Genomic DNA, 22,211 nt, shown 5'->3' with positions numbered 1-22,211 from the left:
ATGAGCCGTGGCTTCAGGGGGTGCAAGTCCCAAGCCTTGGCAGTTTCCATGAGGCATTGAGCCTGCAGCTACACGGAAGTCAAGAATTGAGGTTTGGGAACCTTTGCCTAGATTTCAGAGGATGTATGGAAATGCCTGGTTGTCCAGGCAGAAGTTTGCTGTAGGGGTGGGGCCTTCATGGAGAACCTCTGCCAAGGCAGTGCAAAAGGGAAATGTGGGGTCAGAGCCCCTACACAGAGTCCTGACTGGGGCATTGCCTAGTGGAGCTGTGAGAAGAGGGCCACTGTCCTCCAGACCCAAGAATGGTAGATCCACTGACAGCTTGCACCGTGCACCTGGAAAAACTACAGACACTCAATGCCAACCCATGAAAGCAGCCAGAATGGGGGCTGTAACCTGCAAAGCCACAGGGGCAGAGCTTCCCAAGGCCATGGGAGCCCACCTTTTGCATCAGCATGACCTGGGTGTGAGACATGGAGCAAAGGAGATAATTCTGGAGCTTTAAGATTTGACTGCCCTACTGGATTTTGGATTTGCATGGGGCCTGCAGCCCTTTGTTTTGGCTAATTTCTCCCATTTGGAATGGCTGTATTTACCCAATGCTTGTGCCCCATTGTATCTAGGAAGTAACTAACTTGCTTTTGATTTTACAGGCTCATAGGTGGAAGGTACTTTCCTTGTCTCAGATGAGACTTTGGACTGTGGACTTTCAAGTTAATGCTGAAATGAGTTAAGATTTCAGGGGACTGTTGGGAAGGCATGATTGGTTTTGAAATATGAGGACATAATATTTGGAAGGGGCTGGGATGCAATGATATGGTTTAGCTGTTTCCCCACCCAAATCTCACCTTGAATTGTAGCTAAACAGTTCCCACTTGGGAGGGACCCAGTGAGAGGTAATTGAATCAGGGGAACAGGTCTTTCTCATGCTGTTCTCATGATAGTAAGTCTCATGAGGTTTTATGAAGAGGAGTTCCTCTGCACAAGCTCTCTCTGTTTGCCTGCTGCCATCCTTGTGACTTGCTCCTCCTTGCCTTCTGCCATGATCGTGAGGTCTCCCCAGCCCTGTGGAACTGTGAGTCCATTAAACTTCTTTTTCTTCCCAGTGTTGGGTATGTCTTTATCAGCAGCGTGAAAAGGGACTAATACAGGGGCTGTCTTAGAATTCTACCTAACACAAAGGGGGACTTGCCTGCCTTATGACCATTATGTTCCAAGCTCCTGGCACATCGAAGGCACATGGAAGCAACCCTTTGTTGAATATGTGAATATGTGAATGAATTAATGACTGAATGAATGAGTCAAATGGCCACCAATCTCACACCTTTCTACTTTGGAGGGGAATGATGAGATGGAGTTAGATTAGTCTAGAAGATGACCCCTGGATTCACCTTCTAATCAATTCCTTTGAAGATACCTTCAGATGCCACTGAATTGTGGAGAACGTATCTCTGTCATTCCTTGGGGGTCATTGGTATGATGAGGTGGGTGGCTGTCACTTGAGTATAGGCCCCATGAAACATAAGCTCGAGCTTCCCAATGTCCCCAAGGCCACCCCAAAGTGAGAAGTTTCTCCTGTTTTCAAGGAGTCAGCTGAGTGGTTTTTTTCGAGCCCCACATTGGCATACATTGTGTCCCGCTAGAGCCAGTGAGGCATCCCAGGGGACACCAGACTTTGTGCAGGAATCAGGGATAGATGTTGTGTGTAGTGAGCTGTGAAGAGTCACTCACTGAGAGGCTCATGGCATCCTTTATTTATTTGCATTGAAATATTTATTGGGATGTGAGGCATCTATAATAGATATGTCAGCCAGGCGGGCAGGCCTGCTAGGGGGAGAAATCTGGGTGGCCTCTCTCCTAGGCATCACTATGTTTGCTCGGTGAAAAACTCACCTGGAAAACATTTCCTGGGCACCTATTACAGACCAGGCTCTGTGCTATAGAATCAGATTTGGTCCCTGCCCTTCAGGAGGGGTGGAGAATAGGAGATGGCAGGGGAGAAACCAGTGTTTATTGAGTACCTACTGTTTGCTGAATATTTCTAACACATTATCACACTTAAGTACCAAAACAACCTGGTAATTTCAGTGGCATCATCATGCATACTGTACGATGAAGAAATTGAGGCTCAGAGAATTTCAGTAACTTGCCAAAAGTCACACAGTCTCTTTCAATCTTAAGTCCAAGGTCTTTCTACCATGCTTTGCTTCTTGAGACCTGAATTCAGAGATCTTCATAAATTTCAGCACTGAAATAAGAGTGGGTATGTACAAATAGGCAGTAGACTTGGGGTGAATTTAGCTCTAGTTAAAGTTATAGTTCGATTTTAAAGTTATATCTAGAGAAATCAGGACAGGGAGGAGATGAGGGGTCTAATCCCAGCCAAGAGGCCGATGATGAGAAAATCACTGTAGTTCTCATTGTGGGGGGTTTCCTCTGTGCCAGGCCCTATTCAAAGCACTTTAGCCTGTTGAACTCCTCCAGCCATCCTATAGGGCAGCTCAAGGAGAGACAGCAACTTGCCCAAGCTTGCCAGATACAAAGAGGCTGAGCTGGGATTTGAACTCAGGCCTGCTGTTCCCATGTACATCTCAGAAATCGTTCAATGACAGTAGATGTTTCTTGGGTCCTAGCTCTGACCAGGCAATTATTCAGGGGGCTCCATGTATATTAGTTCATCATATTCTCAGAAGCACCCCTGTGAACCCTGTACTGTTAGTAGCCCCATTTTGTGGAGGGAGAGACTAAACCACAGAGAGTCCATCCCAGGACCTGGGAGGAACAAAGCTGGGATTTAAGGCCAGGCAGCTTGGGACCCTAAGCCAATGTGTGTAATCCTTGTGACCTACTGCCTTTCTGCTAAGCTCCTGGGGCCCCAGCATTGACCTGCAGACAGACACAAGCACCTCTAGAAAAGACAGAAGGAGCTCCCGTGGGCCAGGGCCAGAGTGCACAGGCCCAGCCACACAACACGCTTCCTGGCATCCCTCTGTCTTCACTCCACTGGCTTCCTGTGATCCTGCAATCTCTGCTCTTGCTCTGCTGCTGCCTGGGACCCCATCATTTATGCTTTGCCCTCTCTAAGCTTTCCTTGCTCAGCCTGTAATGCAGAGCTCTGCAGGGCTCCAGAAAGATCCTTCCAGGTTGCTGTTCACCATCCAACACCAAATCTCTGACCCTTAGCCCTGGTTTCCTGACCAGAGACTGGTAGACAGCACCTGGATGTATAATGTTCCATTCAGAGACAAACACACACATACACAACTGTAAAAAGCCCAGAAGAGAAATACCTTAAGTTTAACTTCTTGTTTGGGCTGGCCTACTTCAGAAAGGAAGGTATCTGTGTGGGGGGGGGGGGGCAGGGGGGGTTGACTTTATGTTTTTAATTTTAAAAAAGTAATAAATGAAGTGGGTTTTTTTGGTTCTTTTTTTTTGTTTTTATTTTGTTTTGTTTTTAGATGGAGTCTTGCTCTGTTACCAGGCTGGAGTGCAGTGGCGCTATCTCGGATCACTGCAACCTCCACCTCCGGGTTCAAGTGATTCTCCCACCTCAGCCTCCCAAGTAGCTGGAACTACAGTTGCGTGCCATCATGCCCAGCTAATTTTTGTGTTTTTAGTAGAGACGAGGTTTCACCATGTTGGCCAGGATGGTCTCGATCTCTTGACCTTTTGATCTGCCTGCCTCGGCTTACCAAAGTGCTGGGATTACAGCATGCACTACTGTGCCCAAACATGCAGGTGGTTTTAAAAGTCAGATTAGTTTACAAGACTTCACGGAGAACAGCAGTCTTCTCACCGGTCCTCACCTGGCATTCCCACTCCCTAACAGCAACCACTTTCAACTCTTAAAGCTCTTTCTTCTACTATTTACCACATTTTTATATAATATCCAGCTATGTTTAAACAGTTTTATCGAGGTAAAATTGATATAAAATAAACCGTACATGTTAAAGTATATAAGTAGGTCATCACTTAACAATGTCTGTAGGTTCTTGGAAACTGTGATTTTAGGTGAAACGATGTAATGAGGGCAATTTGACCATAGGCCAGTTGATACTAACAAGAGTGAAGTTTCTAGGCATATTTCTGGTTATAAAAACATCATTGGACTTCTAAATGAAGACCCCAAACACCTCTAATATTAAACAATGAAATAAATGGGAGCTATACATAGGTTTGAGAAAGATTAATAAAAACAAATAAGGTAATTTTTTACCCCAATTATTTTAGTTCAGAGTAGAAGGTGGCCAAAGCCCATCCCGGTCAGAGCCCATCCCCACAGCAGGTGGGAACCCACCCTCGACAGGACTCCATCCCATCGCAGGACGAACTCACCCCCCTCACTCAATCATCCTGGGACCATGTAGACACACCGATGAACCTCACATGCCCAGCTTTAGGATGTCAGAGGAAAGCTGAGGACCCAGAGAAAATTCACATGGACATGGGGAGAATATGCAGATTCCACACAGACAGGGGCCTCAGCAGGGATTGATGTCTTTTTCTCAACAACATTCTAATAAAATGACCTTAATGGAAACGTTATTTGAGGACCTGCTGTAATTTAATACATTTTAATATATACATGTCCCCATGAAATCACATCACTACAGTCAAGATGATGAACATAGCCAGCTCCTTCATAATCCCTCCCTCCTGTTCCTTTTGTGACTCCCATCTATCCCTCAAGAAACCAATGACCTTCTTTCCATCACTGTCAAGTTGTTTGCATTTTCTAAAATTTTATACAAATACAATCACACAACATGTACTCTCCTTTTTTGGCTCCTTCCACTTAGCATAATTAGAGACTTGTTTGTTTTATTACATTAACAAGCTCAGTTGGTTTTATTGCTGAGGGATATACCATTCTAGGGATATACCACCATTTGTGTATCTATTAACTCAATGGACATTTAAACTCTTTCCAGTTTTCAGCTACTAGAAATAAAGTCACTGAACATTCATGTACAATCTTGGTATAGACAGATGCTTTCGTTCTTCTTGGGTAAATACACAGAATTAGAGCAATTCAATCATATGACAGATGTATGTATAACTTTTTAAAGAAACTACCAAATGGTTTTCCAAGTGGTAATACCATTTTACTTTCCAACCAGCGCTGTATTAGAGTTCAAGCTGTTCCACACCTCCGCCAACATTTGGTGTGGTCAATCTTTTTACTTTTAGCCCTTCTACTTAAATGTATAGTGGTGTCTTGCTGTGGTCTTAATTTGCATTTACCTAATGACTAATGATGTTGAGCATGTTTTCGTGTGTTTATTTGCAACCTGTATATCTTCTATGCGGAAGTGTCTGTTCAAATCCTTGACCCATTTTTTAATTGGGTTGTTTGTTTTCTTAAGTTTTCAGAGTTCTTCATATATTCTATATACAGATGCTTTATCATATATGTTATTTGCAAATATTTTCTCACAGTTTATGTCTTGTATTTTCATTCTCTAAAAGGTTGTCTTTTAAAGAGAAGTCCTTAATTTTGATGATGTTCAATTTATCAATTTTATCTTTTATGAAGTATGCTTTTGGTGTTTCTAACTATGGCTAGCCCAAGGTCATACAATTTTTTTCGCCTTTATTTTCTCTTAGAATTTTAGTTTTAGGTGTTGTGTTTTAGGTCTATGATCCATTTTGAGGTCTATGATTAATTGTTATATATGGGGAGAGGTAACAAGATCAAAGGTTATTTGTTTGCATATGGATATCTAATTATGCTGTCATCATTTATCCAAAAAAAGTCCTTTCTTCATTGAATTCTCTTTGCATCTTTGTTGAAAATTGGTTGTCCATGTATATATGGGTCTATTTATCAACTCTCTCTTCTGTTTCATTGATCTATTTGTCTGTCTCCATATCAATACCACACTGTATTGATTACTATATTGAATACTGTATTCATTCATCAGTATAAGCTAATTTAGTCTTCCAACTTTGATCTTCATTTTCAAAAGAGTTTTTGCCTATTGCAGCTCCCTTGTATTTCTATATGAATTTTAATATCGGCTTGTCAATTTCTACAAAGAAACCTGCTTTTTGATTAGAGTTTGCAATGAATTGATAGATCAATTTGGGAGAAATGACATTTTAACAATATTGATTTATGACTATGATATATTTCTACATTTATTTAGGTGTTATTTAACACCTTTGATTGATATTTTGTGATGGGCACAGATCTTGCACATCTTTTGTCAGACTTATTCCTAAGTATTTTATATTTTCTGGTGCATGGCATATCTTATTTCAATTTTCAATTACTCATTGATAGTGTATAAAATACAATTGATTTTGGTATATTGATCTTGAATGCTACAACCTTATTACACTCATTTATTAATTGTGGTAGTGATTTTATAGAGGTCATCAATTTTCTATACAATCATGTCATCTGTGAATAAATATTGTTTTGTTTCTTCCTTTCCAATCTGGATGCTTTTTAGTTGCTTTACTTGCCTTATCACACTGGCTAGACCCTCTAGAACAATATCAAATAGAAATGGGGAGAATTGACATCCCTTGTTCTTCATCTTAAGGATCAGCAATCAGTATGTCATTTTAAAGTATGATGCTAGCTGTAGGTTTTCATATAGGCCATTGTGAAGAAATTTGCTCATAATATACTGCAAGTTTTTTTAATCAGAAATCAATGTTTAAGTTTTTTAAAATGTTTTGCATGTATCCATTTGAATACTCATCTTCTTGGTTAATATAACGAATTATATTAACTGATTCTCAAATGTTAAACTAACCTTGAATTCCTGGGATAAGCCCCACTTAGTCATTGTGTACTATTCTTTTTATGCATTGCTGGATTCGAATTGCTAAAGCTTTGTTAAGATGTTTTGCCTCTATATTCATGAGCAATAATGGTCTATAGCTTTCTTTTCAAGTAATGTCTCGGTCTGGTTTTAGTATCAGCATAATGCTGGCCGACAAGAGCTGGAGAAAATTCCCTCCTCTTCAATTTTCTGGAAAAGTTTTTGAAGAAGCTGTATTGTTTCTTTATCAAATATTTGGCAGAATTCATCAGTGAATATTTTTTGGCCAGAAGTTTTCTTTATGAGAGGATTTCTTAACTACAGAATCTATTTACTTAATAATGATGCTATTCAGAATATCCACTTCCTTTCAAGTGAGCTTTGATAGTTTGTGTTTTTCAAGGGATTTGTCTATCTCGTGAACATTATTAAATTTGGTGGCCTAAAGTTGTTCATAATATTTCCCTATTAGTATTTTAATATAGGATTATATACAGTGATTGCACTTCTCTCAATTCTGATATTGGTAATTTATATCTTTTTTTTCTGATTAGCCTGGTTAAAGGTTTATTAATTTTATTGATCTCAAAGTATCAACTTTTTCTCTATTGTTTTTCTACTTTGTATTTTATTCATTTTCACTTTGATCTTTATTGTTCTGTTTTTTTCTGCTAACTTTGAGTTTAATCTGTTCTTTTAATTTTTTTTCTAGATTCTGAAGATGGAAGCTGAGGCATCGATTTGAGACCATTGATTCTTTCATACTAGAAATTTCCCTGTATACTATTTTAGCTGTATCACACACATTTTTATATTTGGTCTTTTCATTTACATTCATTTCAAGAAATTTTTCTAATTTTCCTTTGATACATGCTTTATTGAGCAGTGTATTATTTAGTTTAGGTTTCAAATATTTGGGGGGTTTCCAGATATTTTTCTGCTATTGAGTTTTAATGCAATTCCATGGGATCAGAAAACATACTTTGATTCTTTTTAAATGTACTGGGACTTGTTTGATGGCCAGAAGATGATCTATCTTGGTAAATGCTCTGTGTGCACTTGTGAAAAATGTGTGTTCTGCTGTTGTTGGGTGGAGTGTTCTATAAATGTCCATCATGTCAAGTTGATTGATATGGCTGTAGAGATCTTATATAGCCTTACTGATATCCTGTCCACTTCTTCTATCAATTATTGAGAGAGGAATTGATATTTCTAACTATAATTGTGGATTTGTCTATTTCTCCTTGCAGTTCAATCAGTTTTTGCTTCATATATTTTGAAGCTCTGTTGTTAAGTGCATAAATGTTTAGGATTACTATATTATCTTGATAAACTGACCTTGTTATCATTCTGAAATGAACTTCTTTTTCTCTGGCTGGACGACTGCTGCATTTCGTCCAGGGCTAATTATTCCCTGACATAAAGGCAAGACCCTTCTGAATATTTCACTCAATGCTCCATGAATTCTCAGCGTTTTCCACTCTGCCTGGTGGGAACAGCAATCATTCTGGACCCTGTGTGAGCTCCAGATACTATTACCTTTAATCCTTTTGGGTGGTTCCTTCCCCACCTCGGGAAGTTTCTTCACATGCCTCTGCTGGTTGGGACCCTGCTGAATAATTAAGGGAACCTTCTGCAGATCTAAGTGCAGCTCTCTCTACTCTCTGACACTGTTCCTACGTGGTCTCCCTGGACTCTTCCTGCCATCTCCCCAGCTTGGGCAATTTGCCAGGCTCTGCCTGGGTTCCCTCTCCCTGTGCCACAGCCTGGAAACTCTCTCAAGACACTAAGCAGAGCAATCATAGGGCTGAGCACATTTGATTCCCATCTCTCGGTGATCAGTGTCCTTCGTCATCTCATATACAGCATCTAAACCATTGCTTCATCTATTTTGTCCAGTTTTATTGTCTCTGGTGGAACATAAATCTGGTTCCCATTAGAACTGGGAGTCTTTATTTTTGTGCTTTATTCAGTTTTAGGTATCTGTGTTGACCTGGGGCTATGAAAGTTAATGCTTTAGGCCAGGCACAGTGGCTCATGCCTGTAATCCCAGCACTTTGGGACACGACACTGAGGCAGGTGGATTACTTGAGGTCAGGAGTTCAAGACCAGCCTGGCCAACTTGGCAGAAACCCCGTCTCTACTGAAAAAATACAAAAATTAGCTAAGTGTGGTGGCGTGTGCCTGTAATCCCAGCTACTCAGGAGGCCGATGAAGGAGAATCACTGGAACCCAGGAGGCGGAGGCTGCAGTGAGCCGAGATTGTGCCACTGCACTCCTGCCTGGACAACAGAGTGAGACCTTGTCTCAAATAAAAAAAGAAAGTTAATGGCTCAGACTTCTTACAAATGATCCTTTCCCCTTCCATCTCCACATCCTTTCCCTCCCCATCATCTTCTCAAAATAGATTTGGTTATAATAACATTAAATTTTCATATGACTTTGAAACTATTGCTCACAGCTGAGTCATATGGTATACTGGGAATGGTTTACTTTCTTTTACATCTTTTAGTTTTCCATAGAGTTAATTATTTGCCTTTTTTAAAAAGGTTTGCTTTCTTGTCTAATGGTTAGTTCTTTTAATCTGAAGTTTCATACTCAAATAACATGAAAGTCAACAGTGTCTGGAGGAAGGAGGTTACTGCAGCAATTGCCGTATGTGGGCTGAGACCCTTTTTGTTTCCCTAACATAGCAGAGGGGTGGGGCAGGGGCTCTGGCTTTGACACACAGCCGCTGGCCTTCTGTACACACCTCACATGTCTCTGGCCTATTCTGAGAAATAAGAAAAACGTGTGAATTGAAGTAGATAGAGAAGGTAAGAAGCCAGAACGCAAAACAGGACTCTGGATTCTAGTTCTGCCTGTGTTGCTAATGTTCTGTGTGACCTTGAGCAAGTCCCTTCTCTTCTAAGGCCACCACTTATTATCTGTGGCATGGGCATGAGGCAGCTGAGGGCAAATGTCTCCTCTAGATTGCCTTAAGGTCATCCAGGAATGGGGTGGCCATGAAGACACTGGGGACCTAAGAAATGTCCCCGTTTCCTGCCTTAATCCGGCTAAGACCAAAGTGGTCCTTTGTATCCAAGAGGGGACAGACAAGGTCATAATGGATGAGAACCTCAAGGAGAAGATTTCAGACCAAGATGATGATAGATTGATAAAAGGTGCTTACACACCTCCAACAATGGGGAACTCCCTACTTGCAGAGTCCTCTGCAAGGTTGGAGGTGTGTAAGCAGAGCTTAGACCAACCCTGGGTGAATTTTCACTTTCCCCAGTTACAATCGTGACACTGTATTGTCATTGGCCATTATGTTCACTGGCTTCTGGACTGAACTGTAAGACCCGTGAGGGCTGGAACTTTGAGAGTCTAGCCCAACTAGACACTCAACTGGGACATTTTTCCCCCAGGGGACAGGGGACACTTGGCAGTGACTGGAGACATTTTTGGTGGTCACAACTGGAAGGAGATGCTTCTAGCATCTAGTGGGTAGAGGCAAGGGATGCTGCTGAGCATCCTACAAAGTTCACCACAGACCCCCACAACAAGGAATTATTTGGGGCAAAATGTTAATAGTGTTGTGCTTTAGAAGCCCTGGTCTGGCCTATCACTCCAACCCAGCACTCAGCACAGGGTCCAGCACCTGAGAGGGTATTTGTACATGGGGGGGTAAACAATGATGCTTGGCAGGGACTTTGATTGCCAGACTGTCCCCCAGGAGCTGGTATGGAGCCCACAGCAACCCACGCCTACCCAGGGCCAGCTGCCCAACATGACTTAGGGGAGGATCCCTTGCCCCAGAGCACAGTGAGTGGGCTCCTGGCCTGACCTGGCCCTCCCCTCCTTGGGCTTCTGACCCATCCTGGCCAGACAGGGGCTATGCTGGAACTTCAGTCCTGCCTTGATCTTTGGCACTAATGTTCCCTTATCAGTGGAATGATCCAAGACTCCAGTTTTCTCTCTGTACCGTGGGACAGTTGTCAGACCTGCTTGTGCTGTGGGACCAGTAAGAGCCAAAAGTGGTTAACGGATGGCCCATGGGTGGGTGGAGGGGAGAGTCACAGAGTCTCACCCCCAGCTAGACTCTCCAGAGGGCAGCTGACAGGATCTGACAGTGCAGGAGGGAGAAATTCATTCAACCATGTAGTCAACAAATATGTATTGAGCAACTACTATGTGCAAGGCCTAGGTAGCAGGAATACAGCACTGAATCAGACAGACAAGATCTCTGCCTTCAATGGAGCTCACATTCCAGTGGCGGGAGGGCAGAGTAGGAATAGACAATAAACAAAAACCAGTAAGTAGCTTCTGGAAGGTGATGCACATTATGATACAAAGGAAAAATGGAAAAACAAAAAAACAAAGCAGGCACAGGGCAGCAGGACTGAGTAGGGCAGGAAGGGGTTTAAGTGGTGTGGACAGGGCAAGGCTTGTTGAGATGGCGACATGTGATCAGTGGACATTATGGGGAAGAGTATCCAGGCAGAGGGAACAGCTGGTACAAAAGCCCTAATGTGGAATGTGCCTGGTGTGCTTGAGGACAGCAAGGAGACCCATGTGGCTGGAGCAGAGTGGGTGAGGCAGGCAGCAGGAGACAGGAGATGAGGCCAGGAGGGAACAGAAACTTGCCACACTGGGCCTTGGGGATGCCCCAGCTTTGACATTGTTGTTTGGGAGCCACGGAAGGGTTTTGAGCAGAGGAGTGGCGTGATTAGAAAATTACCCCTGTTGAGAACCACTGGGCTAGACACTCAAGATTCCAGCCCTCATGGGGCTTACAGTTCAGCCTAGGAGCCACTGGAGATAATGGCCAGTCATAATACAGTGTCATGATTATAATTGGGGAAAGTGAAAATTCACCCAGAGCTGGTCTAAGCTCTGCTGCTGAAACAGCGTGTCACATACTTAACAGCCTAAATTTATACAGATGCGTTCTCTTACAGTTCTGGAGGCCAGAAGGCCAAAATCAGTTGAAAAGGCCAGGTATCACGGGGCTAGATCCCTCTGGAGGCAATAAGAGAAGTATTTTCTTACTTTTTTTTTTTTTTTTCCAGCTTTGGGAAGCCAACTGCATTCCTTGGCTTGTGCCTCCTTCCTCACATCCATGTCACCTTCTTCCTGTGCTGTAATTGTACCTCCTTCTGCCTCCCTCGTATGAGGAAACGTGATTCTACCATTGGGCCCTCCTGGATCATCTGGGTTACTCTCCCACTTCAAGGCCCCTAATTTAATCACATCTGCAGTCTCTTCTGCTATGTAAGGTAACATTCATAGGGTCTTGGGATTAAGATGGGCAGATCTTAGGGGGGCCACTCTTGAGCCTACCAAGAGCCAAGTGGGGAACAGACCACAGTCCTCAGTGTCTGAGCTGGGGAGGGACCCAGAGGCCCAGCCCAGTGGCCAGGACAACTGCAAGACCCCTCAGAACACTACACGTGCTGGGGAGAGGGCCCATGGGTGAATTCATGAGACCAGTCCCTGTGTGACCTCAGCCCACCTCCTGTCTTTCCCCAAGCCTCAGTTTCTAGATCCAAAAAAGAGGAATAGTTAACTCCCGCCTTGCTTGCAGGGCATTGTTTAAATTAGATGATCTGCATGCCCCTTCTCTTCCCCACCAACCACACTAGGCTTCTTGATGTTTCTTAAACATGCCAAGCATTTCTTATCTCAGGGACGTTGCACAGGCTGCTGTGCTACCCCAGGGCCCTTGCACTGGCTGCTGTGCTACCCCAGGGCCCTTGCACAGGCTGCTCTGCTACCCCAGTGCCCTTGCACTGGCTGTTCTGCTTTGGCTGCTGTTTCCTAGACACTGCCATGGCTAACCTCTCATTTTCTTCATGTCTTCATTCAAATGTTCCCTTCAGAGAAACTGTCCCTGATCACCCTATCCAAAGCCACATCCCCATCAATCTATCCCCTTACCTGGATTTGTATTTCATCTTACATATTTATTTGTTATCTGACAAGGTCTTGGGAGGAAACAGAAGGCACACTTGGCTGGGATTTTGAAGGGAATTTAATGAGGGGACTAGTAAGGGATGTTGAGATACAACAGATGGGTGACCATGGGAAGCTGCTACCCTCCCTAGGCCTAAAAGAGGCAGGGCAGGGAGTAGTGGTGCCAGATCCCAAAGAGAGCCGGGGTGGGATAGAGGGCCCTCCTGCCAGGGGCCAGAACCACAGTATCAAAGCAGGAACAAGCTGGGGAAGAAGCAGCTGGACATCCTCTCCCCTGTCTCCAATCTCAAGCCAAAGCCTCCAACTGGCCAAACCCACCAGCAGCCAGAGCCCAGGTGAGCGTGAGAGTCGTGGTGCATGGAATTTAGCCTCCCTGGGCACAGAGCAAGGTGAAGAATGGCAGACAGTAGATGCAGGGGCAGGGGCGGGGGTGGCCAATAACCCACACATTAGTTTAAGATTTTTAAATTATCTGTTTTCCCACTCAATGTGGAAGATCCATGAGGACAGAGATCATATCTCTTCTGATTATTACCAAGTTCTCAAGTAGCTTGAACATTGCCTGGGTGCTGGTAGGAGCCCCATAAATGATTGTAAGGGAAATGAAGCGAAGCCCAGTGATCTGACAGAAGTCTGCAAGCGGGAGGGTAGCACGCACATCTATGAAGGACCATCCTGGTCATGGCTGCCGCACTCCACCTTTGCAAGGGATTTTAGAACTGCCCAAGTCAACCCAGGAATTCATCTTGCTACTAGCCAGCCCTGCCACTGTTCATTCCTTATCTCCACCCAACCCCAGTTTCAAGGGAGACTTCTAGAAACTCATCTTTGCCACCATGTTGCAGAAAGCAGGTTAAGGGGAAGGAAGGAAAAGTGCAAGCATCGTTTCTTTGTCTTGGCAAAGGAGGGAGTGGAGCCCAGTAAGTGGAATTTGCTCCGGATCCCAGGGGGGCATTCTTCAGGGTCTCCTGCTCCACTCTGGGTGCCCTGCCCAGAGAACATTCTCAGTCAGACTGCCAGATACAAAATGCTTCTTTAAGGAAACTGAAGATCTGCTCTGAGCCCCCCACAGATCCACCCAAATAGGACATCCCAGGTTTTCCCTGCATGGAACCATAAGCCCTTTTAGAACCTTGACTGCTCGGTTCAGAAGGGTGGCTGTCATGGTGGACTTCAGGCCTGGCAGCCAAGCGAACGGGGCTATGTCTGGGATGGCTCTCCCAACCACAGAGCGGCTTTGCTAGGCTTTAAGAAATGGATGCTCATTTTGGGGACCTGGGATGCTGGATCCACCCTCAGCCCACACCAGTTTGCCCCTCATGTTACCCAGGGAGGTGCAGAATGGCTTGGGAGAAAGCATATTTTGGGGGCAGAGGCCCTTGGGTGCAAATCCCAGAGCCTCCTCTTGCTAGCTCTGTGACCTCTCCTTGTTCGTAAACTGAGTGTCAGGCCTTTTCTCCGGGATTGTTTTGAAGACTAAATAAACCTGAACCTCCCAGCAAGTGACGGGCACACAGTAGGCACTCCCAAGCCGCCCTTTCTTCTCTGGCTTCTCCTCTGAGTCCTGGGAGACCACGTCTTCCCTGAAGCAGGGAGAGTAGCCAGAAAAGCCAGCCCACCCTCTACCCAGATCAGCCTCTCCGCGTTTGAAAACTTCCAAGGCAGGAAAACTTTTTTCCCCAGGCCGGTTCTGTCGCAGCTGCCACCATGAAAGCCCCTACACCTTCCCCCCACGGGCCCGCTGCTGTCTTAAAAAACCCTCATCTCCTCTGCTGAGATGAGCGTCGTCGCCAGGAAAGGAGGGAGCAGAGGGGGAGGCACTAATGGGAGACGCCTCGGCAGAGGAGAAGACACAATGGATAAAAGAAGAAAGCGCATCCAAACACGAGTTCTTGTTCTCGAGAAGAAGGGCCAAGTCTGACTTTATAGCAACAGCTTTGAGAGCAGCAGCGGTGGGATTTCTTGGCAGAGGTTCCGCGGGAAAATCAATAAGCGGGGCCGCTGTTTGGAGATGCAGCAAGAAAGGCCACTAACGAGGCCAGATTGTAACAGTTCTGCGAGCAGCCACAATGCTCACCTTACACGGCGCGGCCGCGCGTTGGTAAATAATAAATCACAGCGGCCGGCGGGCGGCGGCGGCGGCGCCGGACAGAACGCAGCGCGTTTGACTGCAAAGCAGACCCGGGGCCATGAATTATTCACCGCCGCGCCGAGATAAAACACCGCAGCGGAAGGAGGCGCAGCCCTGCAAACAGGTGCCCGGCGCGGAAATCTGCCTTTTGATTACGAGCCTGGGCTGGGGATGGGCCCGGCCGGCGGCAGTTCTGGGGCTTCGGCGCTTGGGGCGCGGGAAAAGATGGGATTAATCTGGGGCCGCAGCCGACGCCCCACAAGAGCGTTTTGCCAGACTCCGGGGCTGGGAGCAATTACAGCCAGGCCCGGCAGGGCTGGCAGCGAGAGCCTGAGAGCGCAGGCCTGTGTGTTGTGCACGCCTGCTGGCATGCATGCTCTGGGTGGCGAGGTGTGCATGTGTGAGTGCGTATGCAATGCATTCGTGTGTGCATGGGCATATGTGGTGCATGCATGTGTGTGCTTTCACATGTGTATGGGGTCCGTTTGTATGTATACACATAGTGCATTTGTGTGTATATGCTGTGGTAGGTATGCTTGTGTGCACATGTGGCATGTGTGTATATGTGAACAAGTGTGGTTATGTGTGTATGATTGTGCAAATATGATTATGCTTGCTTAATCCCACACATGCCTGTGCTTTCATATGTGGTGCGTTTGTATATGCTTACATGGTGCATGTATGGGTATGTATGAGGTTACACATTCGTGTGGGCATGCCTGCGCAGTGCATGTATGTTTACATGTAGTGTATATGGGGTGCAAAAGCAATTATGTGTGGTTAAATCTTTATAGGCAGACATGTATGAGGGTATATGCAGAATACGTGTTTGTGTGTGCTCATACCTGCATATGTGGGGTTATGCACACACAGGCATGCATATGTGGTGTGTTTGTGCATATATACATGGTATATGGGTGTGCATATGCAGTGTGTGTGGTGGGCATATGAAGTGCATGGTTATGCAAACATGATGCATGTAAGTGTATGTGAATCTGTGTGATTATGCGTGTGTGTGTGCATAGTGCATTTGTGTGTGTACATGATGCATGTTTGTATGCATACATGCTTTGTGAAGTTTTAAAGGTTTGTGTTGTGCATATACAGTATATGTGTGCATGTATGCATGTGGATAGTTATGCATGCATGCATAGGTGTGTGGAAATAAATAAAGGGAGGAGGTTGGGATTACTAAAATTTGCAAGCTTAGAGATGGAGCCCCATGGGCCAGGGATCCAGACCTCTGAGGAGGAGCCACTAGTTGGCTGGTGCTGGTGACTCTGGGGTTGGTGGAGGGATCCCACCCCATAAGTCAAGAATGAAGACTCCTGGGAAGGGGGCACTGTTGGCCGATATTGATTTCTCTGAGGGAGCACAATGAGGCTTGTTCTACAAGAAATGGAAAAGTTAAAAACCAGGTTCAGCCATTGCCTCAGAAGAGAACTGCTGCTGCCGAGGTGAAGCATCACGGGGATGATGCTTGCAGGAACCACAGCAGACAGGAAGTAAAGAGGAAGGGGCAAGACCCTTCTTGCTCCTCCAACCTCAAAGTCTCCCTCTAGTGACCCTATTGGCAGATCTTAACAAGGAGCCAGAAACAGGATTTGCAGAGTTGCAGGATCCCAGCCCTGGCAGCCCAAAGCTGACCTAGAACAGGTTTGGAGTTGAGACAAATATTTAATTGTCACAGTCCACCCCTGGCTACTCAGCAATGGTCCTCAGCCTTTATACATAATTGAACTTTCATACCCTAACAAAACAACTCTGCATTTCTGCCTAAATCTGTGCTTTATTCATAGAAATAAAAACACGTTCACCTTCTCCCCAAATGAGGAGACACATTCTCAACTGATATTGTATCCGTCTTAGGAAGATAATGACAGGGTGGGGAAAAGGTGGTCATTGTGGGAGCAATGAGAAGTCCAGACTGGCCTTCCTGACTTGAGTCTCACAGAAGGGCCTTGAAGAGGGGTCCACAGTGGCTTAGGGAGGCATCTGCCCACCCACTGGAACAGAAAGCTCCTGACCTCTGCCCCTTAGAGCCAGTTCTGTAGACCCTCAAAGTGGCAAGTGTTCTGGGTCCCATAAGTTTTATCCAGCCATTTTCCTACCCTGACTCTATGCTTTGCCGTTGGTCAAAGGAACTGCAGACCTGCATTGAAAGCCAAGAGAAAGCCCTGAAAGAGCAGCCTGTGAATAGTGGGATGGTGGCTTTCAAAGCCAGATTTCCTGTCCACTCCACTACCTCTCACGGCTCATGCTCTGACTCCAACAGCTCTGATTTAGAATGGGCTTGAGAGATGTGTGTGTGGGTCCCACAGTGGGGGAGAGACCAAGCCTGGTGAGGCTGGGACCCTGATCCAGGAGGGGATCCCTCAACATCCAGCTCAGCTCCACCCTGGTCTTGCAAGAGAAAGGCATAGAGAACTTTCCTATGAATGAAGGCCTCCTGGTTGCAACTTCACAGTTGGGGCACAGATGCAGAACAGGCCCACAGAGGGCAGAAGTATTCTCTGAGGCAGGACATTGCCACGTCCTGCCTCAGCCCCTGCCTAGGCCCCACCTCATTATAATAAAGCCCCACATGGTGTAGAGTTCAGTCTATTTGGGTCAACCTTCCCACCAGGATGGCTGCTTTCTTATAGATACTCCAGGGGCCTGCCATGCTAACCCCCAAGAAGACTAAGCATAGAATATCAGGCATCTGCCAGGCTGCCATATGCAGTTGTGTAGTGTGTGCACTGCCAAAAAGCTCCTGGCCAAGGAGGCAAGTGGGAGCTGAAATTTATCCTAAAATCCTACTTGAAGATAGGGAACCATTATCAAGTTCACACAAAGATACCATATGGACTGGTGTTGGTGCTGGGTATTGAGGTACACTGAACAAAGTCACCAAGGTGATTTAGTGCATGCCTAGGCTCCCAGGGGCTAAGCAGTCCTCTTCCACTAAATGGTGCTTGAACAGCACCAATTCATAGCTAGTATCTAGTCCAACACCCCATCCGTCGACCTGCTCATTGCACCAATGAGGCCTCAGAGGCCCAGAAAGAAAAAGAGTGAACCCCAGGCTTTAGGGACCTAGAGGCCAGCTCAGACCAGCCCCCAGCTGGGAGTTCTGCCCAGCCCCTCCATCCCAAGATGTCTTAGGCTCTGTAGGAAGAAAGACTTTCCTATCTTCGTAGACTCAGGCAACACTATTATTCAAGCCCGGCCACCTTTGTGTGATTTGGAGCAAATGATCAAACTTCTCCATCCCTCAGTTTCTGCCTCTGTGAAATGGGGACAATAATAGCTCTTCCCAGAATCACCTCGAAGATTTAAATAAAGTGACAATAAAATAGCTACAATCGTGTGTGAACCATTCCAATTGCTTCATATGCATTAACTCCTTTAACAAGAATGCTTTGAAGCGAGAACTATTAGGAGCCCCATTTTAGGAATAAGAAATCTGAGGCTCGGAGAGGTTAAGTAACTGACTCAAAGTCACAACGACTAAGGGGCTGGAATCTGAACCCAAGCATGTGCTAATCGCTGTGCAAACTGCCTCTCTTAGGTAGAGGATATGTGGACAGCTCCTAGCACACTACCTGGCACAGGTAAATACTCAGTAAGTGTAGCTGTAATTCTAGTTTGGGGACTAGATTGGGGCCTGGGATTATCTCTGGAAGTCCCTCGTTGCTGCAGGCCTACAGTGAGAGCCCAGCCTTCCATTCTTTCTGACGCCAGCCCCTGGGTCTGCAAGAACTCCAGGCCCTGATGCCCGCAGCTCAGACCCTGGGGCGGGGCCCCAGTGCTCTATCCTCAGAGGTAGCCAGAGGTCTGCAGTTGACATGCATTTAATTAGTTCAACCACTTGCCAAGCCCTGGTGAGGGCATTATCAACCCTTCTCTGTCTCAAGCGGTGATGAGCTCCCTTTAAGCAGCTTTGGAGAGAGACAGTGGAGAGGTCTGAAGGCCAGAAACACATTTTCTCCCGCCCTCTTACAGATAAAGTAGGGAGTGACCACACGGTCTTCTTTCTGGAGGAAGGCCTCCAGGCTTTGCCGCTATGCATAGAAATGACTCATTTCCAGCCAGGGAAGGCTCCTAATCCCTAGGCCTCTGGCCTCTATGTGCCATCCAGATGTGATGCTCTTCGGATGGGCGGCAGGGCCTGGGAGGAGAGTGAGGGCACCATAGCTCCAGCTGGATACAGAGAGGCCCAGTGGTTAGAGGGTACACTGTGTGGTCCGGACCCTCTGAGCTGTCCCCAACTCAGTCAAAGCATGTGCACTCTGTAGTCCAGGACCTCCCAGGCTGTGCAGTGCTTCAACTGGCAGTGTTGTCTCATAATTTAGGATACGTTGAAATTCTCTATCACTTTGATGAATGGAGGTTAACTGTTGGAGGTGGTATTTAGTGACAACTTGACTTTGAATCCAGGCTCCACTATTGACATGCTGTGTGACCTTTGACAAGTGACTTGACCTCTCTGTGCCTCAGTTTTCCAATTTATCAAAAGATGATGAAAATATATATTTCAAAGATTATCATAAGATTTAAATATATTATTCCATGTGAAGTACCTAGAACAGTGGCTGGTGCAGAGTAAATCCTCAATGCCTATGTGTGTCGTCATTATTACTTTATTTTTCCACACTAAATACCTTAGATAAAGGGTCATTTATCATAAAATGTGGCTATGTGTTATATTTCCCTCAGCAGGTTGAGAGTCTGTTGTAGCACTGTTTCTGGACAGTGGTTACCACTAACCCCATGAGAAAAGATCTAGGGATGGAATTTTTATAGTAGAGTCCATTGTTCCATGGGATGATTAATCGTGACTGCACAGGTCATTGTGTAGGGAAGGATTCTGAAGCCTCGTCTGAGTCTAAAAGGAACAAGCAATGTGATTGATTAGTGATGTCTGCCACAGGCATGGGTAGGGCAATAAAGGTGGTTTTTGTTTGGCCTCCCCCAAGAGGGGGCTGAGACAAGATGGGTGCAAGGAGTTTATTTGGTAGGTGATGCCAGGAAGTCCAGTGAGTGAGCTGGGGAGTGAGACAGGGAAGGTGGAAATCCAATGAAGGGGCAGTACCGAGAGGGTTACCACAAGGCACTGGGGGCTCATTCTTTCTGGGGAGCTTCTGGAGACTGTATCACATAACTCGGAATCACCCCACCTGGGGGCAGGTGTATGTAGCCACTGATTCCCATCGCTCATTCATGGAGAGCTGCTCCTCTGGCATTAACTCCTTGGCACTTGCAGCTGCCCTGAATGTGGTCTGAGAACACTCCCGCAGCCAGGAAATTGCCCTCAAGCAGAAAGCTTCACTTAGCTCAAAGATCGGCCAGGATGGTCTGCAGTGACTTTTGGGTGGGCTGGGGATGTGGATGGAGCACCTGGTACAGATGCTGTGAGTGCTGTGTGCATGTCACCATGAGGAGCCGTTATCTGCCTTCCCTCCTCCCCGCCTTCCCTCCCCACTTCCTTCCCTCCTTTCTTCATTTTTCTTTTTTCCTTCTTCCCCTCCTCCCTGTCTTCCTTCTGCAAACATTTTCTGTTCATCTCTGACTTGTCAGGCCTTATGCTAGAAACCAGGAGTAGCAAAATAAATAAAAGCTTGTCTCTGCCCTTAGCTCTTCAGTCTGGTAGAAACAGCAGAGACCTCCCTTCTCCCCAAAGGGGGAAAAAGACACCCAAAGCAGCTAATAAATGGTTTCAAGTGGTTCCTTTTCAGGCACTTTCATTTTTAAAAGCAGGGCCCAGGGGCTGAGCTGGGACTGGCAATTAGAGGCCGAGTTTCTGTATTTGAGAGACGGGGGTGGGGGTGCAAGGAATCTGAACACCTTGGAAAAAGTAAACTTATTAGGCGGAAGAAGATCTTACAGAGTATGAAATTTACAAAAGCTCTATCCGAAATAACACTAATGACAAGACATTTTATTGATGTTTAATTCAAAAACAGGAGCTAATGCAAGTGCCCTTCCCTTGGAGTGGGAAGGAGGAGGGCACTTTTCTTTCTAATAATTTACTTAAACTGAATTTCATATGGGAAATTAATTTGCCTGGAATAAAAGCAAGACATCACTCCAGAAGTAAGAAGTCACCTTGGATGGGGCTATCCTTATGGGGACAGCCCACCGCTGTCCTCCAAAGCCAGAAAGTTCTATCCGGTGGGCAGGCTGGGGGTAAAGTGCATTGTATTTGGGGTCTTGGGGGCCGTAGTCATTTTGTATTGCTTTGTAACAGATCACTTTGTAAGGACAGCATCTTAAAATAACACAAATTATCATAGTTTTCATGAATCAGGTGTCTGAGCATGGATCAACTGGATCCCTCTGCTCTGGTTTTACAAGATCTCTACCAAGGTGTTGGCCAGGGTAGGCCTCATTTGATTCTCAGGCCACCGTTCTAAGCTCATTCAGATTGCTGGCAGAATACACTTTCTTGAAGCTGTAGAACTCGGTAGTGTTCATGTTCTCTGAAGCCAGCAGGAGAAATATCTTGCTGACCTTTATTCTTGATTAGGTCAGGCCCACCAGGATAATCACCCTTTGGTTAACTCAAAGTCAGCTGATTAGTAATCTCAGTATAGGAGTGAAACCCCAGGCTCTTCCCCTACTCCCTGGGGCAGGTACACTGGAGACAGGTATCTTGGGGATCATCTTAGACTTCCCCATACCATGTGAGCAAAGGAGCAGGATCCAGCTAAACATGGACCAGCTCTGAGACTGTGGGCAAGCTATTTTGTGTTGCTTAGCTTCTATGTTCTCCTCTGTAAGATAGGTTAGCAAACTAAATCCAGCTGATCTGAAGAGAAACAGGAGATGCATCTTAAACGACCAGCCAGGTAGGAATTCAAGTAATCAAAACTGAAAGTTAAAGTATAAACTCACTAGAAACAATATGTACTTATCTGCTCTAGGCGTTTTATTTTAACTTAAATATGATAAATGAATGAGCATTCACTGACTTTTTTTCACATAGGACCAGGGCAATTCGAGAATGACCTCTCCAACTGGAGTTCCAGGTAATCATTCTTCTTTTTTTTCTTTTTTTTAGACGGAGTCTCACTCTGTCGCCAGGCTGGAGTGCAGTGGCACGATCTTGCTCACTGCAGCCTCCGACTCCCTGGTTCAAGCGATTCTCCTGCCTCAGCCTCCCGAGTAGCTGGGATTACAGGCACACGCCACCATGCCCAGCTGATTTTTTTTTTTTTTTGTATTTTTAGTAGAGATGGGGTTTCATCATGTTGGCCAGGATGGTCTCGATCTCCTGACCTTGTGATCCTCCCACCTCGGCCTCCCAAAGTACTGGGATTACAGGCGTGAGCCACTGCGCCCAGCTGGTAATCATTCTTACA

The 22,211-nt window shown here is 45.6% G+C and overlaps 1 annotated feature.

Moving 5' to 3' along the window:
• Positions 14,667-15,166: an enhancer, noted in NCBI's record as "H3K4me1 hESC enhancer chr16:55090599-55091098 (GRCh37/hg19 assembly coordinates)". NCBI's record gives its function as "activates a minimal SCP1, AML or CMV promoter by ChIP-STARR-seq in primed H9 embryonic stem cells {active_cell/tissue: H9 hESC(primed)}" and the evidence as "EXISTENCE:reporter gene assay evidence [ECO:0000049][PMID:30033119]".

The sequence above is a fragment of the Homo sapiens genome, chromosome 16 (assembly GCF_000001405.40).
Source record: "Homo sapiens chromosome 16, GRCh38.p14 Primary Assembly".
Classification (NCBI taxonomy): domain Eukaryota; kingdom Metazoa; phylum Chordata; class Mammalia; order Primates; family Hominidae; genus Homo; species Homo sapiens.
Note: the sequence above shows the minus strand (reverse complement) of the source record. Positions and strands in the feature narration are given on the sequence as shown.